Genomic DNA, 27640 nt, shown 5'->3' on the forward strand with positions numbered 1-27640 from the left:
TGTCAGCTCTTATGATAACAATGCCTTCTCTGGAATACCTCCTAAAGGAACTACCTGAGGCTGTTTACAGTTAATTTTTTAATGCTTTTTTTTTCTGAGACAGGGTCTTGCTTTCCTGCCCTGGCTGAAGTGCAGTAGCGGGATCATAGCTCACATAAACCTCAAACTCCTGGGCTCAAGCTATCCTCCCACCTCGGCCTCCTGAGTACCCAGGACTACAGGTGCGTGTCACCACACCTGACTATTTTTTATTTTTATTTTTGCAGACACAGGGTCTCATTATGCTACTCAGATTGGTCTCAAACTCCTTATGTCAAGCAATCCTTCTACCTCAGGCTCCCAAAGGGCTGGGACTACAGGCATGAGCCACTGCATCTGGCCAACTTTATTTTTTTTAATAAGTAGAAGGAGTGTGCTCTAAGGATAAAAGTATAATATAGTAAATATATAAACGAGCAACACAGTCATTTCTTATCACTATCAAGTATTATATATGGCACAGAATTACATGTGCTACACTTTGATAGAACTGGCAGTACCGTAGGGTTTTTAATACCAGGTTCACCACAAACACGAGTAATGTGTTGTCTGTGGAGTTATGACAGGTGGTAGAAAGTTCCCCGCTCTATTATAATATTATGGGACCAGCATTGTATACACAGTCCATCCTTAACCAAAACATCATTATGCTGCCATGACAACATTTGTTTGGTTTTCTTGTTTGTTGTTTGTTTTTAAGACCAGGTCTGGCCCTGTCGCCCAGGTTGGAGTGCAGTGGCACAATTAAAGCCCACTGCAGCCTCTGCCTCCCAGGCTCAAGAAATTCTCCTACCTCAGCCTCTTGAGTAGCTGGGACTACAGGCACATGCCACCACGCCTGACTAATTTTTGTATTTTTAGTAGAGATGGGGTTTCACTATGTTGGCCAGGCTGGTCTCAAACTCCTGAGTTCAGGTGACCCTCCCGCCTTGGCCTCCCAAAATGCTGGAATTACAGGTACACACCGCTGCATGACTACATTTGTTTCTTAACAGTGGATCTATTCCAGGAGAGTGGAGTCTCAACAATTACTAATTATTAGTTATAATATATCTGCCTTTCTTCTTCACACTTTCATCTGGTAAGCACCTGATAAACTGAAATAACGTTTGCTCTGATCACCAGTCGATGAATCTCTGCTGCTTTTAGAAATATCTAAAATATTACAATACTTTCTAAGGTCATGAAAATCTTTTAGGTATTAATGAGAGTGTGGGTTACATGAATATGCATTTATCTATACTCAAATATCATCAAATTATATCCTTAAATATACACATTTTATCATTTATACAATACACCTCAAAGTTCAGAAATTATTGGGGGAAAAACTAAGTATAGCTCAAGGAGTAACTGCGCCTGTGCCCTATGTAGAAAACGCACTGGTGATACAGACAAACATTCATTTATTTACAAAATCGTATTTGAGTAGAAAATATTGTGTCATCGTATTTTGTAACATGGTAAATATCCCTTTATATTGCACCAAAAATTAGAGTCAGGCTTCAAGATGATTTTTACATACCTTATTATAATAAACTTAGTATTATCCAACTGATAGGAGATAAAACAAAAAGCACCACTGGGAGAGGTTTACAATTCAGGTAAAATAAATGCTTTGTTCTTTGAGATCTGGAGTAATAACTGTCTGCTTATTAAACAAAAAGGTTATTTTTTCCTATGCATAACCTTTACAGTACAGAAGTACTCCAGACTTGAAAATCCCTCTACCACCTGAGGATTAAAACACTTTAAATATTCAAATCTAACTTCTTAAGTTTGAACTATACTTTCCATCACAGATCTGGAAGTAGTCTGTGAACTATCGAGGAAGACAGGGCCATTCACAGGGTGGTCATTCACTCAATTTGGGGAAACAGAGTATCTTCTAATCTGTTAGGATTTTGCTGAATGACATTTGCTAGGGGAAAGTTTTAAACATTTATTGCCGACACTCCAGGAAAATAGAGGGTAATTTACTGGCATGTGTGATTGTCAAGTGGGAGAATATGTCAATCACCTAATTATCATTATTCATTAAGGAGGGCTTTCAAATACATTGTAAATGAAACATGTGTAAAGTAGCCATGAATTCCAAGTATATTATACTGTGCAGACACAGAATAAAAACTTTTTTCAAAATACATAATTTACTTGAAGGAGTTTCCTTTCTTAAATACATTCTCTATGAAAAGCAATTTGTACTGACTCAAGTTACCACATCTTCCATGGTCCTTTTAGAAGAGATATTTATTCAAAAGCAGAAAGATAATGGAAACCAAGTGTTTTACTCTAAGCTAATGTTACACAAAATCACTAAGATAATTTTTTATTTCGTTCCAGTACTCTCCTTTCCATTGAGTCCTCCAGGCCTCAACCCAAACCCCCTCACCAGTAACCACAAAATAATAATTCTTTTTTATCTGCTACTTAGTCTCAGAAACAAACTGTGGAGTCCCAAAATCAGGTCAGCTGACAAAATTAGCCTTCCTCAACTACACCCATAAGTACCAGTGGATCCAGGCCATTCCTACATCCATTCACCACTGTCCGGCTCTTAAGAAGGACTATATTTAGCTCTTCAGAGCCCTTGGCAGAAAGAGATAAACATTAAAAAACAAAACATTATTTTGAACTGAATTGATACCGTAACAAAAAAGTAACATTTGACTCTTTAAAACATTGGAAAACACTTACATGGTCTGACCCTCAGCAACACGAAAACATATTCGAAGCAATGAGATTAATGCTTATATAGGCTTTTGTTTGTTTTGAGACAAGGTCTTGCTGTGGCCCAGACTGGAATGCAGTGGCGCAAGATCACAGCTCACTGCAGCCTTGACCTCCCGGGCTCAGGCAACTCTCCTACCACAGCCTCCTGAGTAGCTGGGCCCACAGGTGCGTGCCAACATGCCTGGCAAATTACTGTATTTTTTGCAGAGACAGGGTTTTGCCATGTTGTCCAGGCTGGTCTGAAACTCCTGAGCTCAAGCAACCTGCTCACCTCGGCCTCCCAAAGTGTTGGGATTACAGATGTGAGCCACCACACCAGCCTATACTGGCCGTTTGTTAATGGCACTGGTAATATTGGCTCTTCCCCTTAGACGGCTCATGAGGCTAGCCACTCTTGAACTAAAAGAATGCACGTATAACATACAAACATAATGTCTGAATCCCCAAACTATAGACTTTAACCCAAATTGGTGAAACACAAAGGAAAAGGAAAAGAAACTTTAAATTGTTTTTAGGCCTGCTGTTTGGATATTACAGGAACCACTGTGATTTATATTTGGCCTGAGGGTATAAAGATCTATGATTTTATTTATGGCTTGGTTAAATCTTTTCAAAACACAAGAGCCACCTATTCATAATATTAAGAAATCAGGTGATTTAAACCTTACTACACTCTGCTAATATACTGTTCTCTTCAGTAGAAACATGTAGGAGTATGTTAGGGACAATCTCTCAATTATGAGCAAATTTACAACTTCAATGCTGTCTTCTTAAATTACATGCCATCACTTACAATCCAAACATCATTTAAGAGTTTATAAGTTTAAAAGGAGGACAAAACAAAAACCTTTAACAACTCATTATTATTTAAGCCAGAGTTGCACCAAGTTACCCCTTCAATTGTCTAAATAAATTCTAGACATGGCAGCCTACTGAATAAATAAAAGCAATTGATAATCCCACTCTATAGAAAAGCAAAAAAGCACAAACATAAAATCAAGAGACCACACCGAAGTAGCATCATGGAGAAGAATAAACATTTTCAGGACAGAAAATGTTTAAGAAGAACAGCAAAAAAGAACAAAGGTAGGTATATTAAATGAGCAAGGAAGGAGTGGAACTGTTGAAAGGTGGGGTCTAAAAAGGCTGTGACCTGCTTTCTAAGTAAAGCCTAGTCCAAAAATGTCTTGTGACCAGATCAATTTCCATTCCTTCTCGAAAGATGGAAGACATAAGCAAAACACATAGAGCTATGAGGACAGAGTGGATAATGATTAGTACATAGAAAAGTTGCTACTTCGAAGGATTCAGATATTAAGTAGAGCAATTAAAGAATTTCTCCAATGACATCAATCTCAACCAGACGGATGTTCTCAACATTTCGCCTAGCAACTCCCCCAGGCCATCCTTACAGCAGGCTTAGGGAGGTGCTACTCTCTTGGTTCCTGCTTTCAAAAAGGGTGCTGCCTCCATTTAGTGATGTTTATAAAAATGGCAGTGGTTTCCTATTTGAATGTTAATTATTGTTATGACACACAAGGTAATTTAACTTGCTTTGGTAATTTATTCACCCTTCTAATTAGATGTAGTTACTGGAAAATCTTCCAGAGTGTAGCAACAGTTCCAAAGGTGAAATGGCAGGAGGAGGGAGCTTTCCCATAGGATCGCAACTGTAAATCTGGGATGGATGTTCAATTGCCAGTCACCTGAATGAACAATGCCAGGGATCAGAGACGGTCCTTCTGGAATCAAGCAGGTGGCACCCATCACCTTCAAGAATTTGATGATTCAAGAGGAAGGTAAAGCCCCAAAAGATGGTTGGAGCTACTCTGAAAAGATTAAAGACTGAACTTGAATGAACCAAGGAACAATACCACACAACACCATTTTAAATCTCCTAGACCGGGAGTCATTTACATACAGTTGAGAAATGCCGTAGACAGAGTATAAGCCAAAAACACCACTGAAGTGGGAGAGGCTCCACTCGAGTTACTTGCTTTGTGGAAGTATTTTCACGCTTGCCACATCATACCTGCTCGATCAATATTTACTGAAACAAGCAAATGAATGAATGGACAAGTGCATGCATGGCTACAGCATAAAAACAGGCACACCCACTCCATCTCTCTCATTACGGCCTCCTCAGCAAGCAGACCTTTTTTCTTAATTTGAAGGTCCCCAAAGTGAGCGAGTTTCAATCAACAGAAATTTCTTTGTCTTTAATTAAACTGAGCTGCCACTGCTTCTTCTGTGAGGTCTAAGTGCCAGCCTGTAGCCATGTTCTACGCTAGCCAGAAGGGAAAGACTGAATCATATTTGTGACCAAAAAAAAAAACCCATTAGACTCCAATCAATGCAGAGCAGGTGGCTGATGACTGCAGCGATCCCTATGAGGAGCACGGATTGATACTGCCAAATGAACACATTAACTGAAACTACCCAGGCCTTAGGGGAATGGCCAGAGGCCCCTGTAGGGAACAGTTTAAGTCAAACTTTTCCTGCTTCCATTGTAGGATGGAGGATTCAAGGGCTCAGATTATATAAACAAGTTCAAGGCCATGCAAGAATGTATACAGAAATACTCAAACCTCTAACCCCAACAGGAAGAGGAAGAGGAGGAGGAGGAGAAGTAGCCAGCAGAACAAGTGGAAGAAACAGCTTCCAGTGAGGTCACTGCACCCAAAGAAGAGGAGCAGTCAAGCTAACGAAAGCCACATGGCACTGGGCTCCAGTCCTTCCACTTCAGAGTGATATGGACCTTCGCAAAAGGCCTTTCAATTGCCCTCCAAGAAAGCGTCTTTCCCTCTGTTGTCCTCTTCACTGTAATGCACAAAATAATTTATTTTGGTGATGAGGGGTCCTGATCTCTTGACATACAGACTGAAAAAATGGGGGTTGTATGTGTGTCCTACATATAAATCTGTCAGCAAATATTGCCACCACTGAATTCTATTTTCTCAGATTGCCCTCAATTTTGCCACTCTGAAATAATGTGCTGAATAATCTCAGCAACCAGAAATCATCATCCAGGAATGTTTCTTATGAGACAGCTGATTTATTCGGATTCACTAGATCCCTTTTAGTAGATTTAATCCCCCTTTGGGAAATGTAATAGCAAGAAAAACATCTTTTAAAAGTGCTGGAGTGAGGCCACTTCTCCTAGAAGAAGCCAGATGGTCAGATATATATTTCTCAAAACCCATCTTAACCTTGAGTATATGAAGGGATACTACATTTCATTCCTGATAAATTTTGGTTTCCATGTTGGCATTGAGCTCCAGGCTTTCTATGTGTTGATAGCGGAGATTTGGACCCTCCATCCACAGTCTCTTTCTAAGTGAAGGGGAAGATTGGTTTTTGCTGTTCCTTGTTATTCCAAAAGCTCTGGTCTGGGGCCCATGTTCACCCTGGCTCTCAGTCTGGTCAGATGCAATGTTCTTCAAAGGTGGGGACCTACTTGTTATCAGAGTAGCAGCCAAAAGAGGAAAAGGTGTGAATTAAGTACTCAGTTAAAAGGAAACATGAGACCAGGTGTGGTGGCTCATGCCAATAACCCCAGCACTTTGGGAGGTCAAGGCAGGAGGATCACTTGAGCCACAGAGTTCAAGACCACCCTGGGCAATATAGCAAGATCCCATATCTAATATATCTAATATAGATATATTAGAAAATATATATCTACATATAGTAGAAAAATATATATACACATATATTAGAAAATATATATACATATATGTATATTAGAAAACATAATCTCTCTCTATATATATGTGTATATATAAACTACTTATATATATATAAGTATATATATAAACTACTTATATATATAAGTATATATATAAACTACTTATATATATATAAGTATATATATAAACTACCTATTCTATCTTATACCTTCCACTCAAGGTCATGAAGATTTGATTTTGGAGACTGATGCAAATGTTTGCCACCTGATTTTAAAACTCAGGAGGGTTAGGCCGGGTGTGGTGGTTCATGCCTGTAATCCCAGCACTTTAGGAGGCCGAGGCAGGTGGATCATGAAGTCAGGAGATCAAGACCATCCTGGTTAACATGGTGAAACTCCATCTCTACTAAAAATACAAAAAAAGTTAGCTGGGAGTGGTGGTGGATGCCTGTAGTCCCAGCTACTTGAGAGGCTAACGCAGGAGAACAGCTTGAACCTGGGAGGCAGTGCTTGCAGTGAGCTGAGATCGCACCACCACACTCCAAGCCTGGGCAACAGAGCAAGACTCTGTCTCAAAAAAAAAAAAAAAAAAAAAAAAAAAAAAAAAAAAAACAACTCAGGAGGGCAGAAGAGAATGGGTAATCACTATACCTAGTTTCCAGCAAGAGATTCCTCCCTTTAGAAACACTCCCCAGAACTGACAGAAACAGAGAAAGAGGCGTAAGGAGCCATAAAGAGATGTGACGTGCTTTAAAAGCAACAAAATATCAGGGAGGAACATACTCTACTCTAATATGTCCATCATAGGGGTTCTATTTGTTTCCTACAGATAAAGTGATCATTTAACTATGAAAATTACTATCATTCATCTCTCCACATGCATTCCCATCCTTGAGAAGTGGTAGGAACCATGCGCCTCTGGGATGTGGAAACAAGTGCTCTTGTGAACAGAGGTTTCATTCCACTGAGAGAAATGGCCATGCAAAGCAGTGTCTCAAGAGAGCAAGGCAAATCAATGTCTCGCCTAGAGTATATTTTACAAATTTCTAATACAAATGATTGCACTGAAGGACAAAGGTTTTCCTGTACTCTTCCTCCATCCAACCTTCAAACAGATACACTAGTCTCAGCTCTAGTGGAAGTAGGAGGCATCCTTGACATTATACTCAGCTGTGATGTAAGGAATCTGTGTACTTACAAAACTAATGCAAAGCATTTCAGGCTGTCAGCTGACATCCCTGCCACTCCCCACAGCTGAGACTATTCAGTAATGGCAGTACATCTGACATCCTGTCTGACATCTAGAGGACTCAGGAAATTCAAAGAAAATACTATAAATTCTATCATTTCATGATTCACACTTCATGCAACCAAAGATCTCCTCTACACAAAAACACAGGAAATGTCAGAATACCCCATAGGTATGTGATTTTTCTTAACTTGTATGGTTTTATTTATAAGAAATAAATTCAGTTACTGAATTATGAAACAGACACATAGGGGTCCCCTTTGGGATCTAGTCCTTAAGATGCGTTCAAGAGGATGAAGGATGTCCATCTCTGAGATATATTAGTACTTCTACAACCCGTGTGCCAAGCACCAGTGGGCTAACATATCCTCCAGATACATAGACACAACTTAAAGCAGAGAAGCCAGGTAGAGAGATTTGAAAAATGAATTCTAACACTAGCATACTAAATTCCCAAATAAATTGTTTAATTACATTGTACCTACATTTCCCCAATGATCACGTAGAGATAATTACCTTTGCTTATTTCACAGGGGGCATTTGTAATAATAAAAAGAATTATTTGAAATCTTCAAAGAAAGAGCACTATTTTAACCTACTTATATAAGGAACAGAAAGAGAAAATTGAGTTAACAGTCTTAAATTCTGCCAAATTAATCTAATTTTTAAAAAGAGAGACCAAGTAAAACCTCACCACTGTTGTTCTCATCGTAACTGAAATCCAGCACATTAAAGAGAGAGAGAAAGAGATCAACTTTTAAAACTTGTAAAACTCCATCCCTGGTGGCCACAAACACTCTTATCAGTTCCCCACTGAAAACCCCTCCTCGCCATCTCCCTTCCTTCCCCTTTCTCCTATTACCTCAGCCTTCACTCCACTTAATCTTCCCATCTCTCGACTTCTCTATCACCTCTTCCTCCCTGATAGTTATGACCTCACTCCCACTGTCACACATAGAACTGATCCAAAGGGGACCTAAGAATTATTCTAACCAATCTCCCACACAGTAAAAAGGACAACTGGAGACTGAAGTGATAACGTCACAGGCTCAGGGTCAGGTAGCCACTTTCATGCAAAGCTGGGTCCTCACCTAGATATATGACTCCCAGTACAGTACTCTTTCCAGTACCCCACACAACAGTCTACCTGGACCTGTTCACCAGCCTTATCCAAGAGATCCATTTCTGAAACAGTTAGGTGCACTTTGTTGTTCTTCCACCATATAAAGCACTTTGAGTCACAATTAGAAAAATAAAACTGATGACAGCAATCAGATTAGAATCCTGTATCTGGAAGACACCTTTACCCATAATCCATCTTATCCAGGAAGTAAGACTCAGGAGGCCATTTCCACAATGCCTCTCCTCCCCAGACACTCATTCCTATGTTCAACATCACTTCCATTGCTCAAACCTAAATCCTTCCTAATGATGATACTGAAGCAAAATCACAATACCAGGTTTTCCAGACCCGGCTGAGAAGACACTAACTGAGCCCCTAAGTACAAATGAGCATACTTAACATAGAGAAGACACAGTTAGCACATTGCTAAATTTCTCCACACCCTTATTTTTAGCAGATTAAATAATTGTAACCCCTTTAACTTTATCTTCTAAGTCTATTTTTGGCTTTTATCTAAGGCCCCTTTAAATTCTCCATGTTGCTTTTGGAAAGCTAGAGTCCAGAACCAAGGACAGGTAGCTAAAGTGTTTCACATAAGAGAAACTCCATCAACAAAAGTATTGCGAAGTCTGTACAAGCCCAGGGCAATCAATGAAATCTGCATGTAAACGAGGCAGTTTTCCAGACAATACTTTTCAATTAGACTAACTTACAAACTTGAGGAATAACGAGAAACTACAAAGAAAACATCAACTGCGTCTTCAAAGCATTTTCAAGCACAAACCCTAATACAGTTTACTGGATGCCATTTAATTGGGCAGCTCTAAGCATGTAGCTAAATACAAGAAGGTTGGCATAAGAGATAAAAAAGCAAACAATGTCCAAGCTACATCACTTAAATACTGTCAGAACAAGGTTAAGAAGAAGCAAGGTGAGAAATCAGGGAAAATGCAAATAAGAATTCCATTTCCTACAAGATAAAGAAAGATAAATAAAAATCCTGACTAGCTAGGGGAGTATGTCCAGCACCAAAAAAAAAAAGTAATTATTTCATGTGTGGTCCTGATATAAAGTCTTGAAAATAATAAGGCTGCTAAATTGCAAATATCAGGGAAGTGAAGTAGTAGCTCAAAAGATTATGAAAATTGAGATTTCCAAACTGAATTTGAAAAGGAAACAGGTAAAATGAGGTCAGGACATTACAGATGAGAAAGAAGCTTCTACTATTTGGCTGGCTGTTTTAAATTAATAACCTGGAACATTAGCAGGTTTAAAGTCCTATAAAAATGACACGGAGGGAGAAGTAAATGCGGTAGAAACAGCAGTGTTTACACCTTCATCATAGAAAGGTATTACTAAAAGGATTTACAAGGTGGTAACAGGATACATATCAAAGTCAAAGCGCTTTAATAAATGATGAGAAAAGACATTAGGCATGGAAGTAAAGCCGAAGGGCTTGAAATAACTCCACCTATCCACGTCCCAGATTATTTTAAACCAAGTAAGCCACTCCAAGATCCACAAAAGATCAGGTTGTATTTTTCCCTAAGTGGCAGTATTCCCATGAGCACCAAAGCAGTAAAGGCAGTAGGTAGAAAAACCAGGAGTTAAAAGAATATAAAACACTAGTCCTTTCTGGGATATTGTTACACATGCTGAAAGAATCTAAATATATATATCATGACCCAAAGAGGTCTCAGGCTTAAAATCCAAAAAGAAAGAAAAGCAAGTATATTGCCCTTTTTTCCTATTGGGAAAACCTTGTAACCACTGAAAAATTAGAACAGATAAATAGGAATGGGTCAGTATAATTAGTATCTTCTAATTATAGAAGCACCCAGATTGGCATCAAACTCACCAACTCTTGGCTGTCTTCAACAATGACCAGGCCTCCTCTGGGGAGACTACTTCTTGCCATCCTCAATCTGTACCTCAGATGTGTGACTTCTTGCTTCTAACAATATCACAGATTATGGACTAAATGTTTGTGTCCTCCCAAAATTCTTACGTTGCAGCCCTAACCCTCTGATTCTATTTGGAGAAGGGGCTTCTCAGACAGTAATTAAGGTTAAATGAGGTCATACAGGTGGGGACCTGACACAATAGGATTAGTGTCCTCACAGGTAGAGACCAGAGAGCTCATTGACCTGCTCCCTTCCTCCCTGTGTGCTTGCATGAGGAAGGGCCATGTGAGGACTTAGCAAGGAGGCACCATCTGCAAGCCAGGAAGAGAGACCTCACCAGAAACCTAGTGGGCCAGAACCTTGTCTTAGGCTTCTAGTGTTGAGAACTGTGAGGAATTATAAATTTCTGTTTTTTAAGCCACCCAGTCTGTGGAGTTTTGTTACAGTACCCTGAGGTGGCTCAGACATACCTACCACATTGATGCTTAATAGTGACTACCCAAACAGCAGGAATAAAAGTTTCAATTTGTTTCTTACATTTCCTAATGCAATGCTCTGTAAGGCTAGATGTTTTAGAAATGCTTTTTGAACTTAATAATGGTTTTAAAAAGTCACAGACTTCAATAACAGCCATCATTTTCTATAAGCACTAATGGTGTTATATGCCAAGAATTTTTAAAGGCAAATAAATTTTTCTTCTTATCTAAAAAGCTGCCTGGAGAATGCTCACCCTTCCTTTACTCACTACTGAAAACTGTCAATAGCAATTCAAGTAATATAATTCCTTTTTTTTGGAGGCAGAGTCTTGCTCTATCCCCCAGGCTGGAGTGCAGTGGCGCGATCTCGGCTACTGCAACCTCCGCCTCCCGGGTTCAAGCGATTCTCCTGCCTCATTCTCCTGAGTAGCTGGGACTGCAGGTGCCCGCCAACACGCCCGGCTAATTTTTGTACTTTTAGTAGAGACAGGGTTTTGCCATGTTAGTGATTCTTTTTTTTTTTTTTTTTTTTTTTGAGACGGAGTTTTGCTCTGTCGCCCAGGCTGGAGTGTGGAGTGCAGTGGCGCGATCTCGGCTCACTGCAAGCTCCGCCTCCCGGGTTCAAGCCATTCTCCTGCCTCAGCCTCACGAGTAGCTGAAACTACAGGCGCCCGCCACCACGCCCGGCTAATTTTTTGTATGTTTAGTAGACATGGGGTTTCACCATGTTAGCCAGGATGGTCTCGATCTCCTGATTTCGTGATCACCCGCCTCGGCCTCCCAAAGTGCTGGGATTACAGGCATGAGCCACCGTGCCTGGCTGGTAATTCCTTTTCAAGAATTACAAACACCAAAGTATCTTGTACAATGGTAATTTATGTGCACACGTATGCTAAAAATGCCAAAAAGAACTTACACAATTTTTACATACATAACATACTTTAGTTCCTTGATTCTATGCCAATTCACCTAAATATTAACAAACTTAGGACAGTGGACCTTGGGCTTACAGAATATTAAATTGTAGAATAACAGAATCATAAAATCATAGAATCACAGACTAGAGGTTTGTCTCGGTCAAATCTCACCATTTTTTTTAAATGAGGAAAACCAGAGCTCAGTACCTTGCTCAAAGTAACATAAATAGTTCCCTTAATTCCCAGAATTGTGGTTTTTTACTGTATTGTTAAGAAATAATTTTCTGTAAAGCAAAATAATGATTCTCAAAATTAATAAAACACATATAAAAGATTTAACTCACTAGAAAATGAGTAAGATGCTAAGTCTGATTTTTAAAAGAATTCAAAGAAGACACAAATACATAAGCATCAGAAATGCCAGCAAGATGTAAAATGTGCAAAACTAGTCAATATGCATAGGAAAATAATCTATTGCATTCTCCAAACACAACTGCATTTTATGGACAAGAACCAGGCGCTTTACTGTCTATTTTCTGCAGCACACACAATTCTAGTACAGCTCAAAGACAGTGAAAGGCAGAGCTGACCTGATGGTTGAGTAGACAAAACATGCTCTTTTTTTTTTAATCATTTCAAAGTCTTTCCTCACAGTCCCTTACCATGCACAAGTACTCTGAAACCAGAGAACAGCACGGTGGGTGAATTCAAAAAACAGAATTTAGAATTCTTGTTTAATTGCTAACTTTCTGAAAGCCCTCAGAAAAAGACCCAAGTTCATTTCATATCAGCCCCAAAACTAAGAGACAATGAAAACTTGACCTGTGAGAGTCTGGCACTGTCAATGTCCACAGCACTTCTCTCAAAATGATCCCTCTGAATACTTACAATAATCCCACCAGGGCAAAAGGTTCACAACAGCAGTTCCTCAGCCAAGTCGTGGGAAAGGCTGTATCACATTCCGGTCTTCTGCTTCCCAGTCTCACACTCTCCCCACATCACAGGCACAGTTACCTCGCAGGAGAATGTCTCTGAAGCCCCTTAGAGTCATTATGCAAGAGGTCTCACGGAACAACTTTTCGCTGTGACTGAAGAGATGAAATGTAAAATGAGGAAACACGAAAGAAGAAATGGTCTGCTACACAAACATACAAAGTAGGTGTGATGTGCTAGATAACGAGGTGATGTGCTGATGGAGCTCAACTCTGACCCCAGTTCCACAGCTCCAGTCAAAAGATCTGCGTTTAAGAAAGGAGAAACAAGGTGGCTCATGCCTGTAATCCCAGCACTTTGGTGCGGTGGCGCACGCCTATATTCCCAGCTACTCGGGAGGCTGAGGCAGGAGAATGGTGTGAACCCGGAGGCAGAGCCTGCATTGAGCAGAGATCGTGCCACTGCACTCCAGCCTAGGCAACAGAGTGAGACTCTGTCTCAAAAAAAAAAAAAAGAAAAGAAAAGAAAGGAGAAACAAATAGGAATGAAGAGTGGAAAAGATATCAAATAAGGACCCAAAAGCACTCTGAGAAAACAATAAGGTTCTTATGTCCTGTGTTCAGGCAAAGAAACACAAGACATAGACATGAAGAGAACAGAAAGCAAGGAATAATGTTTAAAACTAATTTGGCACAATTTTTTTTCTTTTAAAATGCTCAAGAGGATCATTGCAGAAAACACAGTGGTAAAGCAAGCTGCTGAGGGATTTTTCAATAGCTCCACTGTGAAAAAACAAGCACATCTTAAAACTACAAGCTTTGAAACTTTTAAATTTCTTAATTAAAATATTTCTAGATTCCGTTCATTTCTAAGCAAGACTGCAGCCCTAAAGAGACCAGTAAATTTTTATTCATCTTTTTTGAAACAAACATGATTAACAAGTCATTGTTTGAATAGAAAACTATGAATTAAACAAACAAGCAAACAACCCCACAATAATGGAACCCATTCCTTGGAGATAATGACAATGCAAAGTACAAGAAACCCATTTTGAAGCATTAGTTTCATGTGAGCACTTGTTGACGGAAATATTACAAGAAGTCCCCCTAAGAACAGTTCTCTTCATTGTCGTATCAATGGTCTTGGTGGCTCACATTCCTCACGTGCACTGAGGGCCGTCTTGATAAAAAGTATCTAGTAGACCTCTTGGTGTCAAGTTGTAAAGCTCGAACTTGTTTTGGGATTTTTAAGAATGTATAATAAATATCGATTTATTAATTTACAATAAAAAAACTAATGGGTGAAAGGACTGGACACTCAGCCTCTGACCTTCATGTTTTCTCCCTGCATAGGAAGTCAAACTACTATCAGAATGTTGTCGTGTCTGGCACTACAGCAAGAGCAATGAGTTGCACAAACCATGAAGCAAACAGACTGTTCATTCATCCAGCACGTCCTGGCCTAGAGCTAGAAATACAGCAGCGAACAGGAGCGATCAGAGTCCAGATTGGACTCTGAAAAGAGGATCTCCTTGCCCCAGGAGCTGTGCAGTATGGCCCCAGTTCTAGCTTTCTCTGGCCTAGACAATGCCTAATGGAGCCCTGCAAAGATTCACTTCACTGACTTTTTTAAAAATATTTTTATATAACATAAAATTTTCACTTTAACCATTTTAAGTGTACACTTCAATGGCATTAAATTCAAAATGTTGTGTAACCATGACCACTATTTCCAAAAGATTTTTGTCATCCCAAACAGAAACTCTGAACAAGTTTGCTTTTTAAAAGTGGCACAAGTTACTAACATTTGTGGTTGACATTTTTTTTTTTAATATCTATGTTAAGAACTCGATTATAGGCCTACCCATAATATGCTTCTTTAAGAGGTCTGGGGCCAGGCGTGGTGGCTCATGCCTGTAATCCCAACACTTTGGGGGGCCAAAGTGGGTGGATTGCTTGAACTCAGGAGTTTGAGATCAGCCTGGGCAACATGGTGAGACCCTATCGCTACTAAAAACACAAAAAAGAGCCAGGCATGGTGGTGCACATTTGTGGTCCCAGCTACTCGGGAGGCTAGTGAGGAGGATCACTGGAGCCTGCAGGGCAAAAGCTGCAATGAGCCAAGATCGCACCACTGCACTCCAGCCTGCGTGACAGAGCAAGACCCTGTCTCAAAAAAAAAAAAAAAGGTCTGTATGTTTCATTAGCCATTGTGTGTGTTTATGTTAAAAATATGAAGTGTTTCACAAATTTGCATGTCACCCTTGTACAGGAGCCATACTAATCTTCTCTGTCTCATTCTAATTTTTTAGTATATGTGCTGCTGAAGCACGAACTAGCCATTGGGTTTTGATTTTATAACTGTTTTCCAGAAGGCAAACTTCTAACTTCTTAAAGAGAAAGGTACCTTGTTGCCATGTCCTCCCTCCCACCCCACTACACAGAGGCGCTTTCTTCTACAATGCACACTATTTCATCCAACTCTTACAAATATCTAAAGAGATGCTATCATCAGCTTTTTAGACATAAGGAAGCTGAGACTCACAGGAATGATATTTCTCAAAGCTACTCAGGAAGCAAGGGAACAACGCAAGTGTCGGTAACAGTTATTCCATATTGGAGCATGACTGACTGGATGAATATATGTTTGTTTTTGCTATACAGCTAACATTAACTGGTTCTAAGACTGAATACTGTATTAAATTTGTTATTAAAATACATACTCCTATAACAAGAAGGGACATATAAGACAAAATAGGAAAGATGAAAAGGTTTTAAAGACACAGGAGAGGCTAAAGAAGTGATTTTTAATGGATATACTCTGGGAGAAATTCTCAACTATTTCCCTACAAATGGGTGACATTAGTCACTTAGGGTGGCTGCCTTTTTTCTGAAAGCTATCAGACATCTCCATGGGCAAAATAAAGAAAGAGACCCCCTACGGTTTATTTATGTACGTATCATGGTAGCACTCCGTGGTTTTAAGACATATTGAAACTCCATCATATGCTGCTTTTAAAGCCCAAATAACTAAAATAAAAACTCCCAGGCACAGCAACGGCAAAATACTGTCATTTGTATGTGCTTAGGAGACACGTGTCTCTAAAAGCAACATGTACATTTCTCTTTTCAAGCAAATGTTTAAAGAACTGGCACCGTAACAAACAAGGGGAAATATGGAGATCAGTTTTAAAGGCAGGATTTGTTTTTGTGGAGTCTAATTTATTTCAAGAAATCCAGATTATTAAATTCACCTCCTATCTGAGGAAGGATCTCAAAGGAAAGGTAATACAGGCTAGTCGTCCTTAAATGCCCAAGTCCAAAAGACTAGTATTTAAGACCCAAGTTTATCACTTACTAAGTGTCAGACCTTGGCCATGTTACATAATCGCTCTCAATCTGTTTCCTCAAAATAATACTGCTTAACAAAGGATTAAGTAAAATGGTGCGTATAAAGCACCACACACAGACCGTAGCGTATACTTAAGAGTTTTATTTCAGCATTAGAAAGCATGGGAGGCCGGGCGCGGTGGCTCACGCCTGTAATCCCAACACTCTGGGAGGCCAAGGAGGGTGGATCACAAGGTCAGGAGTTCGAGACCAGTCTGGCCAATATGGTGAAACCCCGTCTCTACTAAGAATACAAAAATTAGCCAGGCGTGGTGGCAGGCACCTGTAGTCCCAGCTACTCGGGAGGCTGAGGCAGGAGAATCGCTTGAACCCGGGAGGCAGAGGTTGCAGTGGGCCAAGATCGTGCCATTGCACTCCAACCTAGGTGACAGAGTAAGACTCTGTCTCAAAAAAAAAAAAAAAAAAAAAAAAGGAAGCATGGGAAGTAGGGGAGTCGCTAAAGCTCACTGATTTAAATTACTACTCAATTAGACTAAATTTTTTAAAAATCATGATTTTCTTTGTCCCCCTCCCCAACTCACACACAAAAAGCCAACACTATACTAAATAATAGAAGATAGTCGAGGTCAAGATTTTCACCTTGTTCTCCAGCTATCATTTTTTCCCTCCCGACTTCTATTTTGGATTAAGGTATTTCAGGGGCCCCAACATCAAAGTAGAACAGAAGAAGGAAAGCAAGAGAAAATGAGAGGTAGGAACTAGAAAAGCCAGTATCAGAAAAGCATACAGCACTTCCTCACTATACTAGCAAAGCTTACCATGCAATATTCAACAGGTAAATCCTGATGGATGGCTGACACCGGGTTCAAGACACTAGTCCACATGCTCCACATACTGAATACCCTAAGGTAGTTCAGAGAGAAACTGAGGGGAAGACGGAGAAAACGCACCTCACGGTGCATTCTGTATGTCACTGCCTTACACGCAGGAGTTTCAATGTTTTGGTACCAATTAAAGACCAACTATCAGTTCTCCATGGAAGCAGCAAAATATAAAAGTATCCTTGAAATCAGTACAGGGCCCTTCTGCGAGGGTCTGGTGATGTGGTTTTGAGATTCTTTGTTTTGGATCATTCCTCGTTTGGTGGACCCACAAATAATGGTCCTGCCTAGAACCATCACCGCAAGCTAGAGTGAAAAAATGCCAGAAGACTAGGCTGGTGGGTAAAAAAATTCAACGTTTTTCCTCATGATTAACCTTGGGTGGCCTTGACAAGTTATGTAAGGTTTTGTTTCTTCAGAAAGACACTGCATTTTTAGAACATCTCTAGGCACAAAAATTAGTCATGTAACTGAAAGACAAGAAAATTTTAAGCATATATTATAAATAAATGTGAATATTAGGGGTGTGTATCCAAACACATGAATAGCTCTTAAAAGAATAAGACAAAAAGATCAAACATATTTGAAATCAGAGAGATGTCTTTTGGGAACTGAACTCTTGCCATGAGCAGGAGAAAACCAGAAAGGTCTTCATGGGTTCTGGTACCTGTTCAACCATTAATTCATGATGTGTCGCTGGAAAAAGATCACAAATGTCTTCAAGCTTCATTTTCCCTATCTGTATCTGCCCAAGATCTCACTGGATTCTCGAAGAATCAAATATGATAACACAGTCATTCCTGAAGTATGGCCACGGACCAACAGCATCAGTAAGTCAGGAACTTGTTCAAATGCAGTTGAGTCCCACCCAGTCCTAATAAATGAGAAACTTCAGCAATCGGTTATTCTGATGCACCTTGAAGTTTGAGAACCACTGCACAAAAACAGATACAATCTGAAACATCTGAAAACACTGGAGTGTTGTTATTACGGAAAAAATTAAGAATCATACATTGAAGATCTTAAGAACTTTCACTTAAAAGTTGGATACAGAAGAGGCTATGTGTGGCTTTTGTTGTTGTTTTTGTTGCTGTTGTTGAAACAAGGTGTCACTCTGTCACCCAGGCTGGAGTGCAGTGGTATTATTATAGCTCACTGTAGCCTTGAATACCTGAGCTCAAGCGATCCTCCTTCCTCAGCCTCCCAAGCAGCTGGAACCACAGGCATGTGCCATCATGCTCAGCTATTTTTTATTTTATTTACTTATTTACTTTTTTAATTTATAAGAAAAGAGGTTTAATTGAAGAAATTGGCAAAAAGAAAGGGGCTACAGAACTCCTGCAACTTTGGAACCCAGCAGGGCAGTTGTTAAATGTTAAAGCTCCAAAATAACCTGGCTCATTTTTAATTTTTCTTTTGTAGTGATGAAGTCTTGCTGTGTTGCCCAGGCTGGTGTCGAACTCCTGGGCCGAAGCGATCCTCCTACCTCAGCCTCCCAAAGTGCTGGAATTACAGGCGTGAGCCACTGTGCCTAACCTATGTGTGGCTTTTTTAAAGCCAAGATTCGCAGTTAATGTAAATGCTACAATAAAATAAAATCCAAAATTACGGTACCTATCAATGTTAAAATGCAGTATTATTTCCTTATAACTTTAAAAGGGTTAAGGGAAAAGAAATAAAATTAGTAATGATTGTAATGATTACATATTCTTTAAAGAGTAAATATGAGACTAAATGTATCTCAATCCAACTATTAATAAAAAAAGAGTGAACTTGAGATTAGCTCTCTCTAGGGAAAAAGGAGAACAGTAAGTCCTCCTGGGATCTTTACATTTTCTTGGCAAGAGTAATGCATTCATTGCTTTTAAAAAGGTAAAAGGTAAAGTCAAAAAAAAAAAAGAAATGTAGTTACAAAAGATGCATTTCAATTGATAATGAAGGCTTTTAATGTAATGATTATAGGAAATCTTGGAGGAGTTCTAATAAGTACAGCCAAATTAAGAACAAAATATGCTAAGAAAACAGAGAAGTCATATTGTTTTTCATTCTACATTCTAGTTAAACCCAATAAAACATGTGAAGACAAAAGTATTCCTCATTAGAAGTATCCTTAGGTCCCATTTATCGTCATATCTTGTTTACTACCAGTTAAGAAAATATGGTACTACAGCCTCTGACAAATTAGGGACAACCTGAGAGCCACATTGGTAGAAACATACAGATCTGAAAAAATTCTGGGATGAAAGTAAGGAAGAAGAGATTGGAAGAATAAATTAACATTTAAAATACAACAAGATCACATAGAAATAGAAATAGTTCGATGAAAAGACTTGTCCATAAAAAGCAAAATTACCAACTATCTGGAGATTTAAATTAGACTGTACTGATGAATGTATTCTTCAGAATATGTTTATTTGTATGATCTTTTACGTACCCTTCAATAAAACTCTAGACTAAGTCCCTACGACAAAAGAGGCAGCCCCAGCAGTGGCCTTGTGGCCTGATCTACAGAGACAGCAAGCCGCCATTCACTGACCCACCCCCATCACACTGGCACCCCACGTTTCTCTCCAAGCTTCTTCCCCACAGTATAAATCAGATCCAAATTAGCTGCTAGTCATAATCAGCAGAAAGGATGGAGAGGCCTTACAGTTACCTTAGACACAGCCCTAGTGGTCTTCTCCTACTTCCTCAGGGACGGCCTCCGCCAGCAGCACAACAGCACACTTCCTGTAGATCTACAATCAGTTCTTCCGAGCCGCAGACGGCTGCTATCGTCCTCGCAGCTCTCCGGGTACTCACGCTTCTTTTTCTCCCTCTTTAATTCTAGGCCTTCTTTTCTTTCTTACCTTTGTGTCCCCTTTCAAGCTTTCCCTTTTATTCAAACGTACACCAAAATGGCAAAAGCAGCAAAGCATTCTAAATCATGTTCACGCAAGCCAGTGCTGGGGAACAAAATGGATACAAATTGGTCATTATGTTCTCTTTCATTTGGGGGTGGCGCACAATTAAGAGAGGTACGCTGTTTTTATGTACTTCTCTATAACTGCAGCTCTAAAGGTTCCTCATACCATCATGAAATTTAAGAGGTACATGAGCAATGGCACTATACTGGGAAAGTTAAAACAAAAGATTTATTAACCTGTGGGTTGTTGTTTTAAAAAAGTATCAAGGGGGTCTACACACTTCCTAAGGGGAAAAGTAAACATTTTTTTGAACACTTCATATACTACAGTTCTTGTGGGGTTTTTTTGTTTTTTTTTTTTTGACATGGAGGCTCGCCCAGTCACCCAGGCTGGAGTGCAGTAGTGCGATCTCAGCTCACCACAACCTCCCACCTCCTGGGTTCAAGCGGTTCTCCTGCCTCAGCCTCCCGAGTAGCTGGGACTACGGGCATGTGCCATCATGCCCGGCTAATTTTTGTATCTTTAGTAGAGACAGGGTTTCACTATATCGGCCAGGCTGGTCTCGAACTCCCGACCTCGTGTTCCGCCTGCTTAGGCCTCCGAAAGTGCTGGGATTACAGGCGTCAGCCACTGCACCCGGCTGCATGCCACAGTTTTTCACAGACATTATCTCACGAGTAGACATGCCAAACCTAGCCATCTAGAGCTGTGCTATCCAAAAGGTAGTCACTAACCACATGTAGCTATTTAAATTTAAAACATCATTAAAATTAAATTTGAAATTCAATTCCTCAGTCACATTCAACGCATTTCAAGTGTTTGATACATGAAAACGGCTACTGATTGCCATATTGCACAACAAAGAGAGAACATTTCCATTATCAGAGAAATTCTACGGCACAACAATGATCTAAGTCTCCTTCACGAAGATTTTCCACAAAAACGTCTGAAGAATTACATTGGGTCCCTCGTACAATGAAGATTAATTCGCTCACACTAAAGCTGTAACTACAATCCATATACGTGTGTTCTCTTGTACCTGCAGCCAGGTTTTCACCACTGCCAGTTTCTACGCTATACTTGGCCTACTGAGAGCTCCAGTCTTTTACAAACACTTACTACATCCTAACCTCTCTTGAATGTCTGGCAAAGGTTTGGATCAAAAAAGACATCACATTTTTGCACATATGACATAATACTTGTAGTTGCCTGGAAATTTATTGGCCCATATGAAGTGGGATCCCCGGGGCAGTGACAAAACTAAGTTTATGCTACTGAGGTTTTGCTTGCCCAGGAAATATAAAAAACTTGTGACTGTGAAGTCACTAAATAAACTAATGGTTTTAATAATGAGGGCAAAAAATTATTTTAATAGGTATAATGTCATTATCAAACCACAGAAAATGCTATACCTGAAATAGAGTTCAATTTTGGTTAGATTTCCTTTAAAGTCTCACAGGACTCATGTGGTACGGGGCCTCTGTGACAATAGGTAACTTTTCATAAATGCTTAAGCACATCTGGACTCTACTCCAGTGACCTACAAGGTAATACATCATTCTGTCAGTTTCAGAGGTACATTCACATCCTATTCTCCAAAACCAGAAATCGCCCAGGGATTCCTAGACCATATGACATGTTGCTGAAGGAATATACAAATATATACACACAAATGTGCGTGCACGCGCGCACACACACACACACACACGCACTGAAAGAATATTATAACCATTCACCTTTCTTCTAAATTTTACCTTCTGTGTTAACTTTCCCTGTGTTGACAAAGAATGCCTCTCACTAAGTCATGACCCTGCAGGTCACTGTAATACAACATCGCATACCTGGATTATTATAATGGGTGAAGGGTTCTTACATATAGCTCAACCGGAGGTTAGGAAGCCCTACGAACACTCAGATTTTTGCTTCATTTTTAACCAAAAGGGGTCAGAGCCTTTGTCAATACCAGCTGTTGCAGTGGTTGGCTGCCTGTGATAATAGGCTGCCTTTCACCTGAAAGAATGAAGGGGTGTTTCTCAGAGTAATATCTTACGATACAGAGGATGATACTGTCTTTAAAGCTAGTGAAAATCAATTTTACTGTCACTTCTTTATTTAAAAAAAAACCTCCCTTTGCAGAAATATCACTGAGATGTCATGTTTAAATTTTTTTTCTACTTCACATTATTTATAAGCCAATATTTTAAAGATTTTTGGCAGTTCTTTAGGCCTGGGCAGGGGTGATATTTGCCCAGAATACATCTGATATGGTCTCCTGGTTGTTTCTAAATTTCCTGTTTTGACTGATCAATGCTTGTACAGTGCTTGTTATTAACTACTAGACAATAACTCCTGGGTACAGACACTGCTCCTTGTCTTTTTTCCTTTGTGTAATTCAGATAGTAAATGTCCAGCAAAAAGCAAGATTCCAAGGGGTAAATTCAATTGCTGACGTATTTGCATTTCTAATTCTAATCCAAGTTAAATAAATGAAAAATCCACTGTAAAAGAGAAGCACAAAAGGCAAAATCTTCACAATCATTACCCAGGGAATCACTGCTTTGTATAAAATCATTAAAAATTATCTTGAAAAATAATAAAAGCAAGTTGACTGAGACAATTATACAATTCTAAGAAATGTTTTTAGAAATGTTCTTCTAAGTATTGTTCTTTTTAAATTTTATTTTTGGCAATTCTCAACTGTAACTACAATACAACATTCTTTCCCCAATGAAAAACAAATTTTAAACTATTTATTTAACACTTTTGGCCACCAACATTTACAGAAATAGTTGCTTAGTATAGCAGCTCAAGCAGCTTAAAAAATTTAAAAGTTAAAACTTTCATAGGGCCTAGAAGCAAAGAAAACTCATTAGCAATAAACATAAATAGTGCCCAATCTTGTTTTCTAAAACTATTCTCCAATTTCTAAATTCTCCAATTTCTAAAACTATTCTCCAATAAAAGAAAACAGGGCACATTGAAGAAATGGCTGCTTCTAGGATATGAGCAGGAAACATAAAAAATAAGCCTGAAGCATCTTGTAGTGCCAGAAAGTGAGGAGGTGCTAAAGAAAAAAAAAAACAACTCTGCAATGATGAGGATATGTCAAACGGACACAGAAATCAACTGAAAAAGTTCCCTGCGGCCAAAAGTTAGAATATTTTGGGCAAGAACATAAAGTAGTATTGGATTATAACTAGAGATATAAAATAAATTGTGTACGAATACATACTGATATAAATAAAAGACAAATCTCCTGTTCAGAGGAATTCCAAATAATTTACATATTAAATACTCCTCCTTCAAGGAGGTGGAACGTGGCTCCCCTCTCCTTAGGTCTGGGTGGTGCCTAGTGACGTCCCTGTGACGAGGACAGTGTGGAAGGGAAAAGGAGGAGCTCTGCAGTGGCGAAGGCTGACAAACGCGACCTCAGCTAGGTGATCAAGGTCAAAATCAACAAGTCAAGTCAATAGAGCATATTCCAGGTAGGATGTAATGAAAACGGCACTTTATCTCTGTGGTCTTCCTCCCCAAAATCCGTAACTCCACTCTAATCATGAAAAAAAATTCAGACAGGTATTACCTTCTTTCCACGTAAGGTACGTTCTACAAAATACCTGACCAATAATATTCCTCCAAACTGTCAAGGATCATCAAAAACAAAGAAAGTATGAAAAACTGTACCAAGAGAAGCCTAAAGCAACACAAGGACCAAAAATAACGTGGTATCCTGTGTGGCATACTGGTACAGACACTGGGTAAAATCCAAGGGAATCTGAATAAAGTATGGACTTTAGTTAGTACCAGTATATCAATATTGGTTCATTAATTGTAATAATGCACCATACTAATATAAGGTGTCAATAGGGAAAACTGGGTACAGAATATATAGGGGAACACTCTGTACTATTCACAATTTTGCTGTATATCTACACTTTCTAAAATTTAAAGTCTATTTAAAAAATTTAAACAGTCTTTCCAATACTAAATCATACTGCATACAATTAAAAATATTTATTTGTTTGCCATTGTAATTGTGGTTAAGAGTGTGGGCTAGGATAAAACTGCTGGATCTGAATCCCGTTCCCCTGTCTAAGTTGATTTTTACTATTAATAGTTATGTGCTTGACCTGTACACAGTATATAGCTAACACGGGCCCATTCTGACATCAGTTATGTTCAGCAGTCTTTGCTTTCCCAGTAAGAGAAAAGAAGACAAATAAGGCCCAATCAGCCCAAAGCTTCTCATCACAGGGTAGCCATATTTAGTAAAGAACCAGGCAACATTTGCTGAGTATCACAGGGACTAAACCTGGGGCAAACTGGACCCCCATTCACAGTCAAGGCAGGTTCTCTTTCCCAAGAACAGATGTAACCAGCAATGTGAATAATGCCTCTGGGCAAAGTGCAGGACTGATTTTAAGAGCTGTCAGCAATTTCACATGATATGAACTCTGTTTATTTCTAATATTCAAATGAGCTCAACTAATGAAATACTATTTTATTTTCATAAGCAAAAAGAGCAGTAAAATGAATTTGATAAAAAATATCTGAAGACACATTCAATAAGAATGACCGGGGTACATAGTATGTTATTCATCTTTTTTAAAGTCTACATGTTAAAAGATTTACAACCAATGAATGCTTCTTAAATGAATATTCATACAGCAATTGCAGTGGCTTTTTTACTGCCTAAGAGAGTCATTAAAGGCTTGTCATCCTGGCCCAGCAATGCCTCTGGTGCTTCTAAATCATTAGATCTTAGTCTACTGCTTTGAATGTTGTAATTGCAACATAAAAATGAGAAATAAATTACCAGTATGAACAATCAAAGGTCACGATTTTCAGCAAAAGCTTAGAATTTTATAGTGGCACCTACTTTTTAATATAAACGATTAAGGGTATTTTTCTTGACCAGACTGAGTAAATAAACAGATGCAATTAATGAAACAAATGAAAAGGCTGAGAGCAACTGGCTATTCTTTAAACAGATTATAAGTAACTAATGGGCATTAAAGGGTTTTTTAATGTAAATTTTTGCTTATAATTTCAACTTCTATTTTAGATTCGGGGGTACATCCACAGGCTCGATACATGGGTATGTAGTGTGGCGCTGAGGCTTGGGGTAGAAATGACTCCATCACCCAGGGGGTGAGCCTAGTACCCAATGGGTAGTTTTTCAGCCCTTGCCCCCATCCCCTCTTCCCCCTCTAGTAGTCCCAGTACCTACTGTTCCCATCCTTATGTCCATAACTGATGTTTTTAGAGTTAGATTAACTGTCACTATACCTAATACAAAATTCAGTCTGGGATTGTGCCTCAGGCTATGCTCCACGTCTGCTACTACTCTAAGATCACGTGCCCTCTGTGAAGTCACTGAGCTGAGCACACCCCAGGGACAGGGAACCTGATATTTCTCTTCTATGAATGCACTCAGCACCTCACACTGGATATATAAAGAATAAGGAAATCACTTAATAATTCTTGGATTAAACAAATGAATGCATCTGCTTGTGGAATTATTTCCAATTCAGTGCACCAAACAGGGAACTTTGGTATACAGCCAACCAGGCTATTTTAAGTTTTGTTTTGTTTTGAAAAAAGTATTTACTGTGAGGGCTTAGAGCAGTTACAGGGCTCTAAACAGAAATTACTGGATACTCCCTCCCTTCAGGACAACGTTTGACACATTTCCAATATCTTGTCACGTACAAAATTCAGAAGAGCACACCTGATTCGCTGGCTTGGTGGGGTGGATGCTTACCAGGAGATCTTGATTGACAATGACACCAAGGCTTTATCCAAGGTGGAAGTTAAACAAAGTAAACACGGAGATGCTATTCCTAGAAGAGAACAGCATAGATGCTGAGCGAGAATGTACACAGACAGCCACTGTAACAGAGAAGATGGAGAACAGCGTAGATGCTGAACAAGAATGTACACAGACGCCCACTGTAATAGAGAAGATAGAGAACAGTGTAGACTCTGAGCAAGAATGTACACAGATGTCCACTGTAATAGAGAAGATAGAGGAGAACAGCGTAGACGCTGAGGTAGAATGTACACAGACGCCCACTGTAATAGAGAAGATAGAAGAGAACAGTGTAGACTCTGAGCAAGAATGTACACAAACACCCACTGTGATAGAGTAGAGGAGAACAGCATAGACGCTGAGGTAGAATGTACACAGACGTCCACTGTAATAGAGAAGATAGAGAACAGTGTAGACGCTGAGCAAGTATGTACACAGATGTCCACTGTGATAGAGAAGACAGAGGAGAACAGTGTAGACGCTGAGCAAGAATGTACACAGATGCCCACTGTAATAGAGTAGAGAACAGTGTAGACGCTGAGCGAGAATGTACACAGACGCCCACTGTAATAGAGAAGATAGAGGAGAACAGCGTAGACGCTGAGCAAGAATGTACACAAACGTCCACTGTGATACAGAGGATGGAGAACAGCGCAGACGCTGAGCAAGAATGTAAACAGACGCCCACTGTGATAGAGAAGATGGAGAACAGCGTAGATGCTGAGCAAGAATGTACACAGACGCCCACTGTAATAGAGAAGATAGAGAATAGTGTAGACGCTGAGAAAGAATGTACACAGACACCCACTGTAATAGAGAAGATAGAGGAGAACAGCGTAGACGCTGAGGTAGAATGTACACAGACGTCACTATAATAGAGAAGATAGAGGAGAACAGCGTAGACACTGAGCAAGAATGTACACAGACGCCCACTGTAATAGAGAAGATGCACGGGATGGGAACAACTAACAATTCCCCAGGAACTACAGTAGGCATTTTGCTTTTCATATATATGATTTGATTCTCCAAACAACCTTTTGACGTGGGTATTATCAACCCCATCTTTCTAGAGCCGAAAATGAAGTTCACCAAATTTAAGTTACTTAGCTAAAGTCATGATATCAAACCTAGGTCTTTCTAACCTCTTCTACCTCCCAACCAAAAAAAAAGTTTCTTATCAAAGCATCATGTGAAACATTAAATCCATGAAGTCTCAGAAATGCAAGTCATCTTTGAAAACAATGTTTCTTGACAACGAGGATTTCTTGCCCCCATATTAACAAGGTTTTCTCACAACATATTCAGCAAATCTTTTTCATTCAATCAAAATATGTTATTTGCTTTTATATAAACCTAAGTTTCCATGGCTATTGACAGAAAATGGTGATACCAACGTGACAAGTACAATTCTTACAGACAAATTAATAATCTGCTCATCCCTACAAGCTCAAGATTCCCCTCTAAGTAAGTCTATCAGTCCTTATATATGGTAGCAGTAATAAGAGATACCAGATGAGAATATGGACACATCCACAAAAATTGCTAATCCCTAATGGCAGTCAACCTTATTAATAGGGGGTTAAAGCAGGAGCATTTTTTAAACCAGCGCAAGCCCAGCACTTTTCTACCATG

At 39.4% G+C, this 27640-nt stretch overlaps 1 protein-coding gene, 1 non-coding gene and 2 pseudogenes across 14 annotated transcripts in view, besides 1 other annotated feature; 1 reads left to right on the forward strand and 3 right to left on the reverse strand.

Moving 5' to 3' along the window:
- Positions 1-27640, reverse strand: part of SMYD3 (SET and MYND domain containing 3) — a 757933-nt gene that overhangs the window by 424382 nt on the left and 305911 nt on the right. The window contains exon 2 of one of the 12 annotated variants that reach the window (XM_047428022.1): positions 13015-13214. The exons of 10 other annotated variants lie outside the window; for them this stretch is intronic. The gene's annotated coding sequence lies outside the window, so the exon portion shown is untranslated. Of the gene's footprint in view, positions 1-2736; positions 2824-13014; positions 13215-27640 lie in introns of those variants that run through there. One more of the 12 variants, XM_011544261.4, reaches the window with a different exon arrangement.
- On the forward strand, positions 5050-5476 carry CHCHD4P5 (coiled-coil-helix-coiled-coil-helix domain containing 4 pseudogene 5; annotated as a pseudogene).
- Positions 8520-8675: a transcriptional cis regulatory region, noted in NCBI's record as "TAD4.SE2.HS10 sgRNA1-sgRNA3 range targeted for Mosaic-seq CRISPR perturbation". NCBI's record gives its function as "positively regulates SMYD3 gene expression in K562 erythroleukemia cells {active_cell/tissue: K562}" and the evidence as "EXISTENCE:mutant phenotype evidence [ECO:0000015][PMID:28416141]".
- On the reverse strand, positions 12068-27182 carry LOC124904573 (uncharacterized). Of its 2 annotated transcripts, none has more exons than XR_007066993.1 (2): positions 21609-27182; positions 12068-13214 (listed from the first exon to the last, which is right to left on the reverse strand). It is a non-coding gene; the product is annotated as an uncharacterized LOC124904573 (transcript). The 2 variants fall into 2 exon arrangements; XR_007066999.1 differs by lacking the exon at positions 12068-13214 and adding an exon at positions 16537-20235.
- On the reverse strand, positions 15286-15390 carry RNU6-1283P (RNA, U6 small nuclear 1283, pseudogene; annotated as a pseudogene).

This window comes from Homo sapiens, chromosome 1 (assembly GCF_000001405.40).
Source record: "Homo sapiens chromosome 1, GRCh38.p14 Primary Assembly".
NCBI classification, from domain to species: domain Eukaryota; kingdom Metazoa; phylum Chordata; class Mammalia; order Primates; family Hominidae; genus Homo; species Homo sapiens.